Source organism: Homo sapiens, chromosome 6 (assembly GCF_000001405.40).
Source record: "Homo sapiens chromosome 6, GRCh38.p14 Primary Assembly".
NCBI lineage: Eukaryota > Metazoa > Chordata > Mammalia > Primates > Hominidae > Homo > Homo sapiens.
The window spans coordinates 165,526,326-165,548,777 of NC_000006.12; the positions used below are offsets into that span (position 1 = coordinate 165,526,326).

The 22,452-nt window shown below is 36.6% G+C and overlaps 1 protein-coding gene across 12 annotated transcripts in view; it reads right to left on the reverse strand.

Annotated features, from left to right (window-relative positions):
• PDE10A (phosphodiesterase 10A) overlaps positions 1–22,452 on the reverse strand; it is a 660,764-nt gene that overhangs the window by 199,037 nt on the left and 439,275 nt on the right. For 10 of the 12 annotated variants that reach the window (XM_011535387.4, XM_017010194.3, NM_001385079.1 and 7 more), the window contains one exon: positions 17,115–17,243. In XM_011535387.4, the coding sequence (XP_011533689.2) occupies positions 17,115–17,243 (129 nt within the window). Of the gene's footprint in view, positions 1–12,102; positions 12,159–17,114; positions 17,244–22,153; positions 22,416–22,452 lie in introns of all 12 variants that reach the window. The other 2 variants (XM_047418100.1, XM_017010195.3) reach the window with 2 other exon arrangements.

The following is a 22,452-nucleotide window of genomic DNA, read 5'->3' on the forward strand; positions in this document are numbered from 1 at the left end:
CCCTGGACTCATCCTGTGGTCATTTCCCCAGTGTCAGAATGCACAATTGGCATAGATGTACTTAGCAGCTGGCAGAACCCCCACATTGGCTCCTTGACTGGGAGGGTGAGGGCTATTATGGTGAGAAAGGTCCAATGGAAGCCATTAGAGCTGCTTCTAGCTAGAAAAATAGTAAATCAAAAATAATATCACATCTCTGGAGGGACTGCAGAGATTAGTGCCACCATCAAGGACTTGAAAGACGAGGGGTGGTGATTCCCACCACATCCCCGTTCAACTCTCCCATTTGGCCTTTGCAGAAGTCAGACGGATCTTGGAGAATGACAGTGGATTATCGTAAGCTTAACCAAGTGGTGAGTCCAATTGCAGCTGCTGTACCAGATGTGGTTTCACTGCTTGAGCAAATTAACACATCTCCTGGTACCTGGTATGCAGCCACTGACTTAGCAAATGCCTTTTTCTCCATTCCTGTCCATAAGGCCCAGCAGAAGCAATCTGACTTCAGCTGGCAAAGCCAGCAATATACCTTTACTGTGTTACCTCAGGAGTATATCACCTCTCCGGCTTTGTGTCACAATCTTATTCGGAGAGACCTTGATCACTTCTTGCTTCTGCAAGGTATCACACTGGTCCACTACACTGATGACATTATGCTGATTACATCCAGTGAGCAAGAAGTAGCAAACCCACTAGACTTATTGGTAAGACATTTGTGTGCCAGAGGATGGGAAATAAATCCGACTAAAATTCAGGGATCTCCTAACCTCAGTAAAATTTCTAGGGGTCCAGTGGTCTGGGGCCTATCAAGATATTCCCTCTAAGGTGAAGAATAAGTTGCTGCATTTGGCCCCTCCTACAACCAAGAAGGAGGCACAATGCCTACTGAGCCTATTTGGATTTTGGAGGCCACACATTTCTCATTTGGTTGTGTTACTCCAGCCCATTTATTGAGTGACCCAAAAGGCTGCCAGTTCTGAGTGGAGTCCAGAACAGGAAAAGGCTCTGCAACAGGTCCAGGCTAACATGCAAGCTGCTCTGCCACTTGGACTATATGACCCAGCAGATCCAATGGTGCTTGAGGTGTCAGTAGTAGACAGGGATGCTGTTTGGAGCCTTTGGCAGGTCCCCATAGGTGAACCACAGCGGAGGCCTCTAGGATTTTGGAGCAAGGCCCTGCCATCTCCACCAGATAACTACTCTCCTTTTGAGAGACAGCTATTGGCCTGGTACTGGGCTTTGGTGGAAACTGAATGTTTTGACTATGGGTCATCAAGTCATCATGCGACCTGAACTGCCCATCATGAACTGGGTGTTTTCTGACCCATCTAGCCATAAAGTGGGTCATGCACAGCAGCATTCTATCATCAAATGGAAGTGGTATATACATGATCAGGCTCCAGCAGGTCCTGAAGGCACAAGTAAGTTACATGAGGAAGTGGCTAAAATGTCCATGATCTCCACTCCTGCCATCTGCCTTCTCTTCCTCAGTCTGTCAGTCTGTACCGATGGCCTCATGGGGAGTTCCCTATGATCAGTTGACAGAAGAAGAGAAGGCTAGGACCTGGTTCACAGATGGTTCTGCACGATATGCAGGCACCACCCAAAAGTGGATAGCTGAGGCACTACAGCCCTTTTCTGGGATATCCCTAGAGGACGGCGGTGAAGGGTAATCTTCCCAGTGGGCAAAACTTTGAGCAGTGCACCTGGTTGTGCACTTTGAATGGAAGGAGAAATGGCCAGATGTGTGATTATATACGGATTCATGGACTGTAACCAACGGTTTGGGTGGATGGTCAGGGACTTGGAAGAAGCATGATTGGAAAATTGGTGACAAAGCAATTTGGGGAAGAGGTATGTGGATGGATCTCTCTGAGTGGTCAAAAACTGTGAAGATATTTGTATGCCACGTGAGTGCTCACCAATGGGTGACCTCAGCAGAGGAGGAGTTTAGTAATCAAGTGGATAGGATGAACCATTCTGTGGACACCACTCAGCCTCTTTCCCCAGCCACCCCTGTCATCGCCCTATGGGCCAATGAACAAAGTGGCCATGGTGGCAGGGATGGAGGTTACGCATGGGCTCAGCAACACTGGACTGAGTGTCCAATTTGCCAGCAGCAGACACCAACACTAAGCCCTCGATATGGCACCATTTCTCAGGGTGATCAGCTAGCTACCTGGTGGCAGTTGATTATATTGGGCCTCTTCCATCATGGAAAGGGCAGAGGTTTGTTCTCAATGGAATAGACACTTACTCTGGATATAGGTTTGCCTATCCTGCATGCAATGCTTCTGCCAAGACTACTGTCCGTGGATTCACAGAATGCTTTATCCACCATCATGGTAATCCACACAGCAGTGCCTCTGACCCAGGCACTCACTTTATGGCTAAAGTAGTGCAGCAGTGGGCTGATGTTCATGGAATTCACTGGTCTTACCATGTTCCCCATCATTCTGAAGCAGCTGGATTGATAGAACAGTGGAATGGCCTTTTGAAGTCACAATTACAACACCAACTAGGTGACAATATTTTGCAGGGCTGGGGCAAAGTTCTCCAGAAGGCTGTGTATGCTCTGAATAAGTGTCCAGTATATGGTACTGTTTCTCCCATATTCAGGATTAATGGATCCAGGAATCAAGGGGTGGAAGTGGAAGTGGCACCACTCACCATCACCCCTAGTGATCCATTAGCAAAATTTTTGCTTCCTGTTCCTGAGACATTACATTCTGCTCTCCTAGAGGTCTTATTTCCAGAGGAAGAAACACTGCCACCAGGACTCACAACAACGATTCCATTAAACTGGAAGATTGCCACAGGGACACTCTGGGCTCCTCCTACCTTTAAGTCAACAAGCTAAGAATGGAGTTACAGTGTTGACTGGGGTGACTGACCCAGACTATCAAGATGAAATCAGTCTATTACTCCACAACGAAGGTAAGGAAGAGTATGCATGGATTACAGGAGATCCGTTAGGGCATCTCTTAGTATTACCATGCCCTGTGATTAAAGTCTATGGGAAACTATAAGCCCTGTGATTAAAGTCAATGAGAAACTACAATAGCCCAATCCAGGCAGGACTACAAATGGTCCAGACCCCTCAGGAATGAAGGTTTGGGTCACTCCACCAGGGAAAAAACCATGACCTGCTGAGGTGCTTGCTGAAGGCCAAGGAAATACAGAATGGGTAGTAGAAGAAGGTAGTCATCATACCAGCTACGACCACATGACCAGTGGCAGAAATGAGGACTGCAACTGTCATGAATATTTCCTCCTCCTTTTGTTAAAAACATGATTGTGCGTGTATACACTTGTACTAATATCTTTATTTCCTTTTCTTTTATCATGTTACGTAAGATTTACTGACTTCATATCGGCATTGAAGTATTGTTCACTTTATGGAATAGTATTTGGGTTGGAGATTGGTGCATCTCCTGTTGTACGAAGGATAGCTGTATTATGTTAGGCGTAATTATGACTTTATTATTGTCTTTATTTGAACATTGCCTATGATCGCAGGAGACGTGTATGGGTTCAAGTTGACAAGGGGTGGACTTGTGATGGTTTATACTGAGTGTCAACTTGATTGGATTGGAGGATGCAGAGTATTAATCCTGGGTGTGTCTGTGAGGGTGCTGCCAAAGGAGATTAACATTTGAGTTAGTAGGCTGGGGAAGGCAGACCCACCCTTAAGCTGGTGGGCACCATCTAATCAGCTTCCAGCAAATATAATACAGGCAGAAAAACGTGAAAAGGTGAGACTGGCCTAGCCTCCCAGCCTACATCTTTCTCCCATGCTGGATGCTTCCTGCCCTGGAACATGGGACTCCAGGTTCTTCAGTTTTGGGACTCAGACTGGCTCTTCTTTCTCCTCAGCTTGCAGACAGCCTACTGTGGGAACTTGTGATTGTGTAAGTTAATACTTTAAGTAAAATCCTCTTTATATATGTGTGTGTGTGTGTGTGTGTGTGTGTGTACACACACACCCTATTAGTTCTGTCCCTCTAGAGACCCCTGAAACAACCACCAAGAAAGTGGGAGACAATATTTGCAAACTATGCATCCAAAAAAGGTCTAATAACCAGAATCTATAAAGAACTTAAACAAACCAACAAGCGAAAAACAAATAACCACATTAAAAGTGGGCAAATGACATGAACAGAAAAACTACCTATTGAGTACTATGCTAACTTCCTACTGAGTACTATGCTCACTACCTGGGTGATGGGATCAATTGTCAAACTTCAGCATCATGCAACAGACCCATGTAAAACACCTGCACATGTACCCCCCCCACGAATCTAAAATAAAAGTTAAAATTTAAAAATAGTTTCCAGCAAAACTTTATTCTTTGATGCTCCACAAACGTAATATAGATATAAAAAGTTTTTGCTTCAATTTTAAAAATTTGAGCCACTGCATTAAGATATGTTTAAGTCATCAGTTGATACTGACATGACAAACCATCAGATAAGTGTGCTGATGTTTTGGAGAGGCATCAATCAACCAGGGAGACTGAAACTTCACTGATATTTTCAAACCAAACAATACTATGAAAATTCATTCAAAATATATATTATCAAATCTCCTTCAAACCTTTCAATAACTTGACATTGCTTGCAGCATGAAATCCTCAATCTTTATACATGTCCCAAAAGGCCTTGCATGACAGATCCTTGACCACTTCTCCATCCTCCTCCTCTACATGGGAGCCTTTCCATCACTTCCTTCCTCTCCCTTCTATTTAATCAACTCTAGTCATTCTTTGTGCCTCTGCTTAAACTCTGGTGTCTCAGGGAACCCTTTCCAAACCCCCAGAGGAGATCACATACTCTAACTACATGCACTCATTGTACGTTGCCCTTTCCTTTTAGCACTTGTATAACTGATTTCAGTTATATTTATGGTCTAATTGGTTGCTTACTATTTTTGCCCCATTTAGATTCAAAGCTCCATTATAGCTGAATCTGTGTCTAATGCTTAGCAAGCGTTACGCACATACTAGATATTTGGTAAAACTGAGGAAAATAAATTAATTTGTAAACCCAATGAGACCAAAACTGAGCTGTGTGCTTTTCTATATTCCAGTTCAGCCATCAGCTTCTTATGTGACAATCTAAATGACTAATGATAATTTATTATTGAGGGGAAAAAAGGAAATCATCAATAATGGAGCATTCATAAATGTAGACTAAATGTTCATTATCCTTTGAACAAAAACAGAAGTTGGGGCAAAACCTTCAACAACAAAAAATTTCCAGATGCCCTTAAAATATTTTTCTATTTCTTTCCTATTAAAAAACAGTATTTACAAGAACAATGTAAATGTACCTATAAATCCCACATCCAAAACAACCACAATCACATATTTTATTAGCATTTATGTGTTGATTATTATCTCACAGAAAAGAATTATATATAGTTCTGCAACTCACCATACTTTATTTAAGCTATCAATTAAATACCTAATTTTGAATATTTATGCTCTTTCTACTTTTCCTATTACAATCAATGTAGAACACCAACAGGCTAATATATGAAATGGGAATTAAAAGACAAAACCTTTAAACCATCTTCTTGCATTCTTAAAATAAGAAAAATAATTTCAAGATTTATAATCTGTAGCAAAACTACCTCATAGCATACCACATCAAAATTACTGGTACAAAAATGAACAACAACAATTTAAAAACCCAAAAACTTTTTTAAAAAAAGGAGTAACAAGCATATTCATTGTATCCAAACTGTTGTTTGAATTGAACTGTCATGCTAGCCAACCGGCTTTACACTAACCTCTGCTTTCCGTGAAACTGGCTTCTAATTGGAATTGTTTGTGCCAGCTCCTCCCGTCTCGGGGCTCTGGGAGAAAGTCAATCACAGGAGCTCTGCTTTCCTGCCTTTGCTCATGTTGCTCCTCAGCCCATGACAGCACCACATTTATTCTCCCATGTTTATTCTCCATAAGGAGAATAGATAGATTCTCCTTATCTATTGCTAGATAAGCGCATATCTAGTATGTGCGTAACGCTTGCTAAGCATTAGACACAGATTCAGCTATAACGGAGCTTTGAATCTAAATGGGGCAAAAATAGTAAGCAACTAATTAGACCATAATTATTGAAATCAGTTATACAAGTGCTAAAAGGAAAGGGCAATGTACAATAAGTGCATGTAGTTAGAGTATGTGATCTCCTCTGGGGGTTTGGAAAGGGTTCCCTGAGACACTAGAATTTAAGCTGTGCCTGGAGCTACTAGTAGTTCCCAAACTAGCAAGCATCAGAATTACCTGGGGAGCTAGCCAAAACACAGACTTCCAGGCTCCTCCACCAGAGGTTCTGATTTAGCAAGTCTGGGGTGAGACCCGACCCATGACATTTCTAACTAGTTCCCAGGTGATGTTCATGTTACTGGTCTGGGGATCACACTAGTATCAGCGGCCTAGTTCAACCACTCCAAGAAAACACTTTCCAGTTTTCATGCCTCTTCATGACTTCAAGTCTCACAGTCTTGTCTTTATAAATCTACACCATCCCATTTAACACTTGCTTACACACCGGAGTCACTGCTCTCTAAAGGCTTCATATATTCTTTCACCACAAAATAAGAAGTTTCTCAAGGTCAGTAGCACAAGAAATACTACTCTGGTGACACAAATTACTCAGGATACAGCAGACAGAGAGCATGGACTCAGTATCTCAGCCCAGTCAGAATGGCTAAAACTAAACCATGTGGATTCTTCAATCTCAAGCAAATTTAATTTATTTTAAAATTCATACTTGCTTAGCAAGTACATTATACTGGATTTTTTCAAATATATAGTCACAAAATATATTAAAATAACCTTATTCTTTGATGGTGTGTTTATCTGACTTCCCCTAAATGAAAGTGATGTTCTTGAGAGAAGCAAGTTTATACAGTAATATGTCACTTAATGGTGAGATACAGTCTGAGAAACGCATTGTTGTAATTCACTGTTGTGAGAACATCATAGAGTGACTTGCACAAACCTAGATGGTATAGCCTACTTCACCTAGGCTATAAGGTGGTATAGTCTATCTCTCCCAGGCTCCAAACCTGTACAGCATGTGACTGTACTGAATACTGTAGGTAGCTATAATACAATGGTAAGTATCTGTGTGTCTAAACACAGAAAAGGCACAGAAAAGATATGGCATTACAGTCTTATGGGACCACCTTCCTTCGTAGAGGTGGACTATATTTCTTGTTCTCCAATTATACATTCATAGTGGATACTCAATAAATACTTGCTCATTGGCATACTAAATGACTAGCCAGAAAATGAATAGTACTGGCACATTCCAGGTACAACCCTCTCAAGTGGATGTTTCTAGAAATAATTATTCAACCTTAGGTCAAATAATTTAGATGACTGTTAAATCTTCAGGAAGCTTTTAAGAAGCAGATTCTTTTTAACTGGGAAATGGTTTTGCCACTTATATTTCATAGGGTTTTAATTTGTTTTTAAAAATCACTTCAGAAATCAATATAGTTTGCAACAAAGCTATTATATTTATTTGAATTAGTTTCATAATCTCTAACATTATTCGTGATAATATGACTTAATCTATAAAATTATCAAAATCCAAATAAATTTGGTTGGACTGCTGTGGATCCTTGGTCAAAAGGCATAAGTGATTTCCCTAACCTGGCCAAATACTCTCAGAAAGAATATATCAGATGAGAATAGGCAATTTTATGGTGGTATGCTCATAGACTAAGAAAAAAGAAAGAAGACTCAAACAAAACCAGATATGACAAAGGAGACATTTTAACAGATACCACAGAAATTTAAAGGATCATTAGAGACTGCTATGAACAAAGATACACCAATAAGTTGGAAAGTCTAAAAGAAACAGAAAAATTCCTAGACACACATAACCTGACACGACTGTACCAGGAAGAAATAGAAAACCTGAAGAGACTGATAACAAGTAACAAGATAGATGCAATAATAAAAAGTCTTCCATCAAAAAAAAAAAAAAAAGTCCAGGACCTGACAGTTTCATTGATGAATTTCCCAAAATACTTAAAGAAGAACCACCCCAATTCTATTCAAAGTATTTCAAAACACTGAGGAGGAGAAAATACTTTCAAACTCATTCTATGAGGCCAGCATTATCCTGATTCCAAAACCAGACAAAAACACAACAGCAAAAAGAAAATTACAGGCCAGTATCACTAATGAACATGATGAAAAAATCTTCAACAAAATACTAAAAAACTAAATTCTGTAATACATTAAAAATCCATTCATCATAATTAAGCGGGATTCATATCTAAACATGTAAAGATGGTTTCAACATATGCAAATCAATAAATATGATATATCACATTAATAGAATGAGACAGAAAGCATATGATCATTTGAATAGATGCTGAAAAAGCATTCAATAAAATTCAACATTCCTTTATGATAAAAACGCTCAGCAAACTGGCTATAGAAGAAACATACCTCAAAACAATAAAGGCCATATACAACAAACCTATAGCTAGCATGACACTGAACAGGGAAAAACTGAAGCCTTTCCTGTAAGATCTAACAAGACAAAGATGCCTGCTTTCACAACTTATTCAATATAGTACTGGAAGTCCCAGCCAGAGCAATTACACAAGAGAAAGAAATAAAGAGTATCTAATTGGAAAGGAAGAAGTCAAGCTGTCCTGGTTTTCAGATGACACGATCTTGTATTTCAAAAAACATAAAGACTTTAGCAAACAAGCTATTTGAACTGATACACGAATTCAGTAAAGTTGCAGGATACAAAATCAACATATGATAATCTGTAGCATTTCTATATGTCGAAAGCAAACAATCTAAAAATGAAATCGAGAAAGCAATCCCATTTACAATACCTACAAAAGAAACCCCGGGAATCTGCCTTTTAAAATATATATATATATATATGATACATGTGTAGTTTTGTTACACAGATACACTGCACAGTGGTGAGGTCTGGGATTTTAGTGTAGCCATCGCCTAAATACTGTAACCTGTACCCATTAAGTAAATTCTAATTCCTTACTCTCCTCCCAATCTTCCACCCTTCCACATATGCAAGATCTATTATTCCACTCTCTATGTCCATGTGTACATATTATTTAACTCCTACTTATAAGTGAGAACATACAATATGTGATTTCCATTTCTGAGTTATTTCATTTAAGATAATGGTTTCTAGTTCCATCCATGTTGCTGCAAAAGACATGATTTCATTATTTTCCATGGCTGAGTAGTATTCTATGGGGTGTGTGTGTGCGCGTGTGTGTGTGTGTGTGTACACACACATTTTCTTTGTCCAATCATCTGTTGATAAGCACTTAGATTGGTTCCATATTTTTGCTATTGTGAATAGTGCTGCAATAAACATACAAGCACAGGTATCTTTTCTATATAATGATTTATTTTCCTAGGAATAAACTTAAGCAAAGAAGTGAAAGATACCTACAATTAAAACTATAAAACATTGATGAAAAAAACTGAAAGCAAAAAAATATGGAATTATGTTCATGGATTGGAAGAATAATCATGTACTATTAAAATGTCCATACTACCCAAAGCAATCTACAGATTCAATGCAATCTCTCTCAAAATAACATTGTTCACAGAAATAGACAAAACAACCTTAAAATTCATATAGAAACAACAAAAGACCCATAAAAGTCAAAGCAATTCTGAGCAAAAGGAACAAAGCTGGTGACATCACATTACCTGGTTTCAAATTACAATATAAACCTATAGTAACCAAAACAGCATGGTACTAGCATATAAACAGACATATAGACCAAGAGAACAGAACACAGATGGCAGAAATAAATCCATATTTTTTAGTCAACTCATTTTTGACAAGGACGCCAAGAACATACAATGAGGAAAGGACAGTCAAGTCTTCTGGTGCTGGGAAAACTGGATATTCATATGCAGAAGAATGATAAAGTACACCCCTATCTCTCACCTTATACATAAATCAAAATGGATTAAATACTTAAACATAAGACCTAAAACTAAGAAGCTACCAGAAAAAAACATTGGGGAAATGCAACAGGGCATTGGTCTGGACAAAGATTTTTTTGAGTAAGACCTCAAAAGCACAGGCAACCAAAGCAAAAACTGACATGTGATCACCTCAAGCTTAAAAACTTCTGCAAGCAAACAAAGTGAAGAGACAACCTACAGAATAGGAGAAAATATCTGCTAACTATTCAACTGACAAAAAATTAATAACCTGAACAGGAATAAGGAACTCAAACAGATCAATAGTAAAAAAAAAAAAATCTGAGCAAAAAATTAGCAAAAGATCTGAATAGGTATTTCTCAAGAGGAGAAAGACATACAAATACCCAACAGGTATATGAAAAAATGCTCAATATCACTAATCATCAGGAAAATGCAAATCAAAACCACAGTGAGATATCATCTTACCTCAGTTAAAATGACTGTTGTCAAAAAAGACAGAAAACAACAAATGCTGGCGAAGAAAGGGGAATGCTCGTACGCTATTGGTAGGAATGTAAATTACTACAGCCATTATGGAAAACAGTATGGAGGCTCCTCAAAAAACTAAAAACAGAGCTACCATAAAATGCAGTGGTACTGCTAACTATATATCTCAAAGAAAGGAAATCAGCATATCAAAGATATATCTGTCCTCCCATGTTTATTGCAGCACTATTCATAGTAGCCGAAATATGTAATCAACCTAAGCACCCATTAATGGGTGAATGGATAAAGAAAATGTGATATATACAAAACGAAATATTATTCAGCCATGAAAAATACAACCCTATCATTTGCAGCAACATGGATGGAACTAGAGTCCATTAAGTGAAATAAGCCAAGCACAGAAAGACAAAAATTGCATGTTCTTACTCATATGTGAGAGGCTAGAAAAGGGATCTCACGAAGGAAGAGAGTAGATTGGTAGTTACCAGAGGCCGGGAACACCAGTGAGAAGAAATGGTTAAGAGTGGTTGGTTAACAGGTACAAAATTACAGTTATATAGAAGGAATAAGATCTAGTATTTGGTAGCACAATAGGGGGACCAATCATTAAACCTGAATAGTAGATTTGGGATATTCTCAACACAAAGAAATGATAAATGTTCGCAGTAGTGGATATCTCAATTACCCAGATTTGATTATTACATTGTATGCTTGTATCAAATATCACCTGAACCTCATAAATATGTATAATTACTAAGTATTCATAATAATATATTCATAATTTTAAATTTTAAAATATGTAAATACCAAAGATCCATCTTTATGATAATGTGAACACACAATTAACAGAAATAATAGAATATGCCAAATAACTCTTTATAGATGAATTCGTATCAACTTTATCTCCTTTCTAGTCACCAGATGGTGGACTCATGTTTATTTATAATTCAGATCAAGACATTCAACACATTTTCTGGTTTCCATTACCAAAAAATATAAATAAAATATATGAAAATTCTGTGTAAGAATGTAATTTAACATTTGAGACAAAAAAATTGAAGGAAAAAGAGAAGAGTGTCCAAAATTAGGTTTCATGCAAACCATTTCAAAAACGTGTTTTTTTCTTATCATGAAAATATACTAATAGTTAATATATTATTTATTAGTATCCCACTTACTAAACCTTCCAACACCGAATGTTTTGGCAAAGTAATTTATGCCCCATTAATTTAATATCCTTCTTCCGTATATATACTAGCACAGAAACCATCCGTTACATATTAAACCATACAAATGCAATTTAATCTGAATTTTAGGTTATCAAATAGTAGGTTTAGGGGGCATAATTTAAATCCTACTTATTCTAAGAATAAAATATCTAACTGCTTTATTCGTATGAAAATTAAATCCCACTTCTAGAATCACTGAAAGGAGAAAAACATATACTAACTACATTATTTGAGAAAAAAGAAAACTTCAATTATTTGTTGAAAAAAATTTAAGGTATCAGGCAGCACAAATATTTTCATTACTAATTATTTGAATTTATAGGTACAATGATAGTGATACGGTCGGCTATTGAATATTTTAGACACGATCATAGAAATAAAATTACTGCCCACAAAAGGTGGCATTCTACTTACAATTTTCAAATGATTGTGGGTTCATCAATCACCCTCTGGAATACTAAGTAACTCGCCTTTAAGAAATTAATGTTACAATTACATTTGAGGTTTTTAAGAAATTAATCCACTTATTTTAAATATTATTCTACTACAAAAAGATGCCAAATATAGTCATGCTACCATTCACTTCTTCATGCACCCTTTCTAATACCACCGACACTGTCAACTCACAATTTTTTACATTAGGGGCCAAAAGGAGACACTGCTGATTGTCAAGGTAAGTCGTGATTCTTCCTACTTATAACTGAAATACTGGAACGGCATTAGTGGTGGGAAATTGTTTTCCATTTTAGAATATTCTTATAAGAAATGCAAAACAATGGACCTTCATTATATCCTAATGTTTATTTAATAATATATACTTTGTACAAATACAGACGTGTAAATGTTAAATCATTTAGTAATCTGAGTCTTGAAGGGTACCAGCTGGAGGAAATTTACTGTCAAATTTACTTTGCATAAAAATATAACATTTAGTGGGCAACATATGCCTAGATAATTTTCTTTATTTTCCTACATTTTTTCAAAATGAATGTATAGTCGTTTGATGAAACCTGTTTAAAACTCTGCTTCGAAGCTATATTTTCTTCTGAGGATGTATCGGCTTTAATGCTTCCTGAGGAAGTTTTTATATATTCCCTAAATAAGTACAACAGGTTATAAAATGAATAAATGCAATCTCTAATTTCCATATATCACTGAAAAAATGGTGGTTTGGAATTTAGGTTCAGAGATCAACTTTTAAAAAGCAATTTTCCTCTCAACTGTAGATAGAATTTTATGTATCTGAAATGAAAATGCTATGAAAGCAATAAAATTAAACTGAAAATAAGAGTTAGAAAAAAAGACTCTGGAATTTAGATCTTTGAGGAGTTGTCATGTTATATACATTTCCCAAAACCTCCTTCTACCTGTCAAAACAAAATCTCGTCGTAATCGCGCCTCTTTCTCTGTAAGACTTTCCCTGACAGGGAAACTACCAGCTTGGACTCTGCTTAAACCCACTGCCAGACTAACTAGAAGAAAGGAATAAATTACAACTCCTTCCTTCTATTTGTAGACTGAGAACCCTTTAACAATTTAATAATCCCAGCACCTGAACAGAACTTGACACACAGTTTGCTGAATGAATGAAAACACAAGGAACCTGTGGGAATTAAAATATGTATCGGCTGGGAGCAGTGCCGCATGGCTGCAAGCCCAGCGCTCCGGGAGGCTGGGGTGGGGGATCACTTGAGGTCAGGATTGGGAGACCAAGCTGGCCGACACGTTGAAACTCTGTCTCTAATAAAAAAAAAAATACAAATAGTAGCCGGGCGTGGTGGTGCGCACCTGTAATCCCAGCTACTCTGGAGGCTGAGGCAGGAGAATCACTTGAACCTTGAGGCGGAGGTTGCAGTGAGCCGAGAGCACACCACTGCACTCCAGCCTGGGCAACAGAGCAACACTTTGCTCAAAAATCAATCAATCAATTATATAATATCTTCCCTCAAGCAAGAGGCTATTAAATGAGTATGAGGGACAGAAGCATAAAAATAGCTCTGTGTCCCCATAGTATGAGAAGCAAATGTAGCGACCCTCAGGCTATTTCACTTGGAGGTTTAGTATTTAACCCTCCCTAATTTATTCATTCATTCGAAAATGTGAGGAATACAAAATTTACTATGATGCACGCAGTTCATGCCTTCAAATTGATCTCATAGCGAGCGTCTCATGATTCTATCGAGATTCAGATGCCTGACCCCTGGTGATCCTTTAGCTTCCCTTTGAAAGTTTAGCCAAATATAAATCCTTTTGAAACAAAATAAAAATTCTGCTGCAATACTCAAATCAAATACGGTCAGCGTTCACACTGCTTACAGGTGTTTTTTTCTTTTATTATTATTTTTGACATAATAATTGTACATATTTATGGGGTACAGTGTGTTACACGGTTTTATTTCATTTTCTTTTTTCTAAATGACAAAAAATGAAATAATTTAGATAGGCTTGTCTCATTTTCAACAAGCTATTCTCCAATATCTTCTATCTGCCACAGTTTCTGTTCCTGGTTCCACTCATGGAAATGAAAACACTCCCTGAAAATCCTCTCCACAAAAATTTTCTTCCTCAAAAAGTTTTCGGTGAAGCAACGTGGAAGGAGAATAAGGCATACTTGAGAACGGGACTTTCTTTTTTTGTTTGTTTGGTTGCTCTGCTGCCCAGGCTGGAGTGCAGTGGTGCGATCTCTGCTCACTACAACCCACACCTCCCAGGTTCACGCGATTATTGTGCCTCAGCCTCCCAAGTAGCTGGGATTACAGGCATGCGCCACTATGCCTAGCTAATTTTTGTATTTTTAGTAGAGTCAGGGTTTCACCAGGTTAGCCAGGCTGGTCTCGAACTCTTGACCTCAAGGGATCTTCCCACCTCGGCCTCCCAAAGTGTTGGGATTATAGGCATAAGTCACCACGCCCAGAGAACAGGACATTTTCTAAAGTAACAGGAAGAAAGGAAAGAAGGGAGGAAAGAATGAAGGGAGGAAGCCTGGTTTTTATATAGGCCTCAAGGGCCATGCTACAGAATTTCACTGAACATGAAGCGATATATGATGAGATACATTCTTTTGATAAACACTCTCAGAAGACAGGCTGAAGGGGGTCTTACTAGGCTGCACAGTGGAATGTAAGGTTCCTTTTTATATACTTCCAGTGCTTGTATCCCTGTTTACTACTGATGCATTCTGCTAAGTGGCTCTATGTCTATTCCCACAACTAGATGGTAAACTCCAAGTCACATCTCACTCAGCCGCTTTCCACTGTCCCTAGCCCTCTGCAAGGTCAAATAAAAAACATCTCCTTATAAGAAAAAAAAAAAGTTAAGTGAGGAGGAGAATAACTGAGTAGAGTTTCAGTTACACACTGCTGGTCTTAACAATTATTTAACTCTTCTGTACATGTGTTCAATAAAGTATTATTTGATTAATATAGAAAACAAAGATTTGGGAGGTAGGAAATGACACACTGACAATGTTTATGAAAATTCAAGAGTTAGTTTTTATGGTAGCACTACAATAGGTTCTAGGACCTGTACTCAATTTCATATCCCACAAAGACCATATATTCTTACACTACACTATTATCCCTCATTATATAGCAAGCTGAAATTTGCATCTTTTTTTATCAAGTGCTTAAGCAAAGCTCAGCCACACTTTTGAAAGTGTCAAACATTTAAACTGTTTTCAAATGTTTGAGGCTTATAAAAACTAAATTATGCTATGTCAAGCTTTCTTTAAGGTTAGTCTTGATATTAAATGCCAAGATTGAGAAGACAATGCCTGTTTCTGATTTATTATTTCTCTTCTCCCCTCCCTCTCAATCCACACTTACAGGCATACACATACAAACACATTCACATACACTTACTTTAAAAACTACTTCATATTTCAGCACAAAAGCCCTCATTTAAAAAACATTACCACTATAAAAAATGCAAAACAAAATTTCAGAAACTTTAAAAATTAGTGAGAAAAATTACCTATACTTCTAACACCATAACATTTTAATAACAATTATACATTTTTATTCATTGCTATTAGACATTTTAGAACTTTAAGATAACACCTTTTTACACTAATAAAGTTTCCCCCAAATAGTATCTTTGTGTTTTTAATATAAAAGTTATACAACAAACCTCCTAGTTCTGTACATGTATCCCAGAGCTTAAAGTATAATTTAAAAAAAGTTGAACAGTCAAAAACACATATAAAATTGTCACAATAAAAACAATATTCACAGAAATAAGTTTAGCCAAATATAAATCCATTTGAAACAAAATAAAAATTATGCAATATTCAAATCAAACAATCCAATATATTAATATACATTCAGTTTGAGGAAAAAATTATTTTGCTTCCCATCCCCTTTGAGCCTCTAGTTCTTTATTCGTGAATATAACTGCTTCTTAAACAGTCTCCATTAAAAATACACGTGTTTCAGAGACTAAGAGAACAACATGCAAAGAGACTCCTACTGTAGAAAGCTACTTTGCAGAAAATTTAAACCACGATGTGCTTAAAATGCCAGGATCTCAAAAGTTAAAACAGTGGTTCTGCACTCCTTTTCTCATTTCATGAGTGTTTAGGTCAAAAAGATGTCCTTGTTCTTTTTTTTTTTTTTTTTTTTTTTTTTGAGACAGTCTTGCTCTGTTGCCCAGGCTGGAGTGCAGTGGCGCGATCTCGGCTCACTGCAAGCTCCGCCTCCCGGGTTCACGCCATTCTCCTGCCTCAGCCTCCTGAGTAGCTGGGACTACAGGTGCCCACCACCATGCCCGGCTAATTTTTTGTATTTTTAGTAGAGATGGGGTTTCACTGTGTTAGCTAGGATGGTCTCGATCTCCTGACCTCGTGATCCGCCCGCCTCAGCCTCCCAAAGTGCTGGGATTACAGGCGTGAGCCACTGCGCCCAGCCAATATACTTGTTCTTTTACTGAAAGTTTACTGACAACAAATCTTCTAGAGTCTGAGTGTGAATGAAAGTCAAATGCCAAGTCTACAGTGCTTTCCCAATATAAAAATTGTTTTTATATTGGCTTGTTTTTGTAAAGGATTTCTTTTTGTAATAGACTTATCTTTGTAAAATATAGTATCTTTGAAATACATACTATGAATAATGTTTATCTAATCACTAAAAATAATCCTTAAATAAAATCAATTATAATACTGACTTCTGCATTTTTCAATATGGTTGTAACTTAATCAACTGAATTCTCAAGATTTGCCAAATTTTTATTTTTAATTAGTCACGGATCTTTCTTTTGTATTTATTTCTTCTCTAACTTACTTTATCTTTTTAAATGGAATAACTCTGATAGAATTACAGTGTTAATATTTGTCTACTTTATATTTCACACTCTAGAATATATTAAATGCTTAGTCTTTTGCCGTAAGATAGAAAAAGCTGGTTTAAAATGAGATCCACAAGAGACCTTACCTTCTGATTTGTTGTTCTTCCTCTTCAGCCATTTCTCTACTGTCTCTGCACTAACACTTTCAGATACAAATTCATCTAATACCTGGGGGTGAAGAGAAAGATATGCCTTCACTTTTTCATCTGTCAAACCTGTAAAAGAATTGAAAAGAATAAAATTCACCTATACAACATCCTCATATCAATGAAAGGTATAGTATCACAACACATTATGCTAAGACCCAGCAACCTCTCATCTAACGGAGAGAGGGCTGGAAAGAGCGGGAAGGGGAAGCTACTGCTTAGTGGGTACAGAGTTTCTACTGGGAGTGACAGCAAAGTTTTGGAACTAGACAGGTGAATACTGCCCAACATTGGGAATATACGTAATGCCACTAAATTGTACGCTTAAAACAGCATTTAAAATGGTAAAAAAACACCATTTTTCATATATACGTGTGTGTGTGTGTGTGTGTATGACCACAATAAAAAAGAATGCAGTTAGTTTAGCAATTTTAAACTACAGATATTACATCATGTTACATAGCTGTTTCTAGCAATAAATTTCAGAGTTACATATGAACCAATGCCAAGAACCAATGCTGTACATTAAGGCTTACAGAGTACTTATTTTTTCGGTATATAGTTACCACAGATTTAGTGGTCAAAGCAAGTGAAACTCTAGCAAGAGTAGTAAACAGGAAAATGTAGCACTGAAACATTATAGGTGCTACAAATTGTTTAATAAATAAATGAATACATTATTATCTTTTATTGCCTTACAACACAAATCCTTCCTTTTTCTCAAAGTCATTAAACCCAGTGGTATAACTAATGTTCAGTTCAGAATAATCTTGACATTTATTCGTTAATATTCTGTGTATGTAGTCAGTTTCACTGAAATACTTTTCATAGTCCAATGATAAGTACTGAATATACATAAGATTTGCAAACAAAGTATTTTCACATGTTTTCATATCTCACATATAAAGTATATGTTTTCAATTTGGTGCTTTGTGTTGGTATGCCATTTCATTAAACAACCCCAAACACAAACAGGCTTTGAATAATTATCCTTCAGTGACGGGAATTATTTTTACTACTGTATCTTTTCTGTGAATTATTTGAATAAATTACCCTTTTTAGGGATGGTTAGGTTAAAAAAAAAAAAAAAGCAATGAAAAACTGCACTCTGAGAAAAAAAAGAAGGAAAGGAAGCATATCTTTATGACTCCAGAGAGTAGGCTGTATGTTTTCCCAAACAGACAAAGCAGAGAATTCATATGTGTTAATTAATTCTGCTGGGAACTAAAGTCACAACTGTTGGGATTCTACAACAGAATGGTATAACTGAAAAGGAAAATGACTTCTTTCAATGAAATTGGTAGTTAAATAGTCAATTTAAACACACACACACACACACACATATACACACACAAATAGAGTTGTATAAGACAAATGAAAATAAGATCTCTGGCTATATTCACCCTGCAAAAGAGCCCCAGTGGTGTAAAATTCAGTGTGAGAAATTCTATAAAATGCTAAAGATAATTGGCTCAATAAAGTAAGTAAGTGCTCTCCTGGCACAGCAAATTATAGTCCCTAAAAACAAAAGGTGCAGGATACTACAGTAAGCTGATAGCATACTTGACCTTTGAGAAGACAGATAATGCAAATTTCATGCTCTCTTTAGGTCCTCCATATTCAATATTGATTCCTTCTTAAAATTTCTTTCTGCCACTCCCATGACACAAGGCTATAGAATTCTTATCCTAACTTTCTAACTGCTCTTGAATTCTACTTTCTCTTCAACAATCCATAATGACGACACCAAAATCTAAATCAGGAATCTTAACATATTTTTAATCTCCAGTCTAGCTACTTTCCCATCACCTCAAGCTCCATCTTAAGTCAAAACTATATGAGTTATCTCCTTCTCACTTCTTCCCAAAGAGATTTTAACTCTTGGTTTTCCTTTTTGTGTTACTATTACTCTACATTTTCCCAGAAACTGAGGCTGAAAAATATAGTAATAACTGACTCATTCCGACTTGTCATCTCATTTCATCTTAGTGCATTACCATACAAGTCATATTTGCCAAATTACATGAGATAAAAGATATGCATCCAAAATAAACAAAAAAACACTCGTTAAACTCAACAATAAGAAAACAATCAACCCAACTGAAAAATGGGCCAAAGGCCACTTCAGTAAAGAAGATATAGATATGGCAATAAACATTTAAAAAGATGCTCATTTGTTAATCATGAATTGAAGTTAAAACAAAAATGAGATTCTATTACACACCTATTAGAATGGCTAAAATTAAAAAAAAACTGACAGTACCAATTGTTGGCATGGATGCAAAGCAACAAAAATTATCATTTAATCATGATAAGGATGCAAAATGCTACAGTGACTTTGAAAGACTGTTTGGCAGTTTCTTACAAAGCTAAATAGAGTCTTTCTGTATGACCCAAAAATCTCACTAGTAAGCATTTACCCAATGGATATGAAGACTTATGTCCACACAAAAACCTCCATGTGAGTGTTTTTGGCAGCTTTACTCATAATCACCCAAATCTGGAAGCAATCAAGATGTCCTTCAATACACAAATGGATAAACAAACTGTGATACATCCATACGACTAAATATTTCACACTAAAAAGAAACGGGCTAACAAGCCATGAAGTAACATGGATGAGTCTTAAATGCATATTGCTATGAGAAGAAAAGCCAGTCTAAAAAGGATACATATTACACAATTCCAACTATACAACACTGGAGAAAAGGCATAAGCTGCAGAGGTAGTAAAAAGATCAGTAACTACCAGGAGCTCAAGGGGAAAGGGCAAATTATGAATAGGTAAAGTACAGGGGATCTTTTAGGATGATGAAACTATTCTGTAAGACACTATAACGATGAATACATGACACTATGAATTTGCCAAAAATCTGTAGAACTTTATAGCACAAAGAGTAAACTATCACGTATGTAAATTTTTAAAAACTCAATTACAAGGTCAGGGGATCTCAGGATGGAAAGCATAATGCAACACAAGAATCTAAATGTATTACACATGTAATATAAAACGTATAAAACAACCTCCCTGAAGCGGGTGGCAGAGGATAAGGTGCTAACCTATAGAACTTTGAAAATAAGTGGGGTCTGTGAGACTAGACACAAAATAAACTGTACATAAGCACCACACTCTAGTTGATAAAGTTGTTGTCCCAAGAGGGTACAGTTTGACACTGGTCAATTAAACAAATGAGTGGTAGATGGTGGGGACAAGATTTCTCAATGGTAGAGTGAGATGTTACAGATAAACAAAAGGAAGAGTTCAGAATGATCCATGTGGTAATGAATTAAAGTTGGAGATATCAGTGAACTCATGTATGACAATACAAATAAAAATGGTTACATATAGGAATATTGGTAGATAACGTATATCTCATAAATACACACAAGTCTCACTTTGCTATGTTAGCTGAGAGGGCCTAGAAGCAACAATATCCCGGTATAATTGCATACATACAGCACCTAGAGCTTGGTTGCTAGTATCAGTGTACAATAAAAGGAACCAAGACTCCATGAAGAAACAGCTAAATTTAGGATAAGAACAGAAAATACATAAGCTTGGAGTAGCTGATGATTTAAAATTTGCTACCAGTAAATCGCACAGACAGACAAATACAGACAACTATTCCAAAGCAATTGTGTATATTTGAACGAGTATATTTTAAAATATATCATTCCTGCTAATAAACTACAACCTTTCATCTACATAACATTTTGCCAGAGTGGAAACAGATAAAACTAATTAAACTGACTTTCATTTTCATTTCATTTTTCAGCATCTGGCAGGAGTACTCATGAGCAGGGGCAGGTTAAAAGTAATAAATGATAGAAGAGAAGCACACGGGTATTGATAGACTGAATGATCAGGGTAAGTTATGAAGAGCTGATGAATTTCATTAATTTTCGCAGTGCAATCTGCAAATGCCCATGGAAACTGTCATGAAGGATTACAGTCTAAACAAAACCAAACTGAAAAGCAGAGTGGTACATGTAGTGGTTAGATTTAACACTGGTACCTGAAGATACACAACAAAAGGCATAATAAAGACTGATGAATATTTTAGTAAAGATAATTGCTTCTATGGTTAATGATTCAGCCAGCAATCTGAGGGGTAGATAAGAATTAACTTTCTTTTCTTGCTGAGTAACTCTTTTAAAGAAATGGATAAACACCACAGCAGTATCTCTACTTCAACATTTTGATATTGAGCCATAGAGCAGTGATGAAAAGGATTGACACCTTTGAGTTTCCACGCATAATAATGCAAAACATCAGTAAAAATAAATAACATCAACAATGATACATTTTTATATCTTTGTTTTTAAATACAGTAGCATTGAGGCTACTTTTCTTCTGTCTTCACAGAAATCTTACAAGCTTCTCATAAAGTAACACATTACTATGCTACCCTTTTGGTTTTTGCTTTCTGCAAGCCACAAATTCAACTTTCTTTTTCAGATGAAGATTTTGCCTATTCACGCATATGTATAAATATACATTTAAAACTTTTATCAAATCACACCAAAAAATATAATGGCCCTAGGTACTCAACAGCCAGCTTCAACCATCACAATTCATAGCCAATATTTTCCATCTCTACCACCTACTCTCCTCTCATATAATTTCAAAGCAAATCCAAGAAATTATTTTAATATATTAGTACATTTCAATATGTATCTCCAAAAGATAAAACTATTCTAACCATAAATACTACTATCACAAATAAAGAGAAATTATTATTTTTAATTCCATCAAAAATATCCAGGCTTTAAATCTCTTTTTTTTTTTTTTTTTTTTTTTTTTACTGCTTGTTGGTCTGCACTAGGACACAAGTAAATTCCACATGTTGCAGTAGCTCGGAATTTCATTTTTTAAATTATATTTAGGTCTCTTTGGTCCAATAATATTCCCTCCATCTCTTACTTTCCCCCATTATAACTTATTTCTGAATAAAATAGGTTTTTAGTCCTATGGTTTACTTCAATCTGGATTTTTCTGACTTTATCCCTGTGGGGTTTAGCATGTTCCTCCGCTCTCTGCATTTCTTGAAAATTGACATTAGTCCTCAAGGCCTGAAGAGATGTAGGTTCCATTTGGGGTACAATCTGGTCAGTGTTACTGCACACTTCTGTCAGAAGTTTTTTGTGATGTCAGCAGCATTAGTGGCTCTTGAGTGACTAATTCAGTAGGGCTTGACAATGGTGATTTTCCTCATTCTATCATGCCTTCTTCATTTATTAGCTGAAATAATATGAAGAGAAACTTAGCTTCATCTACT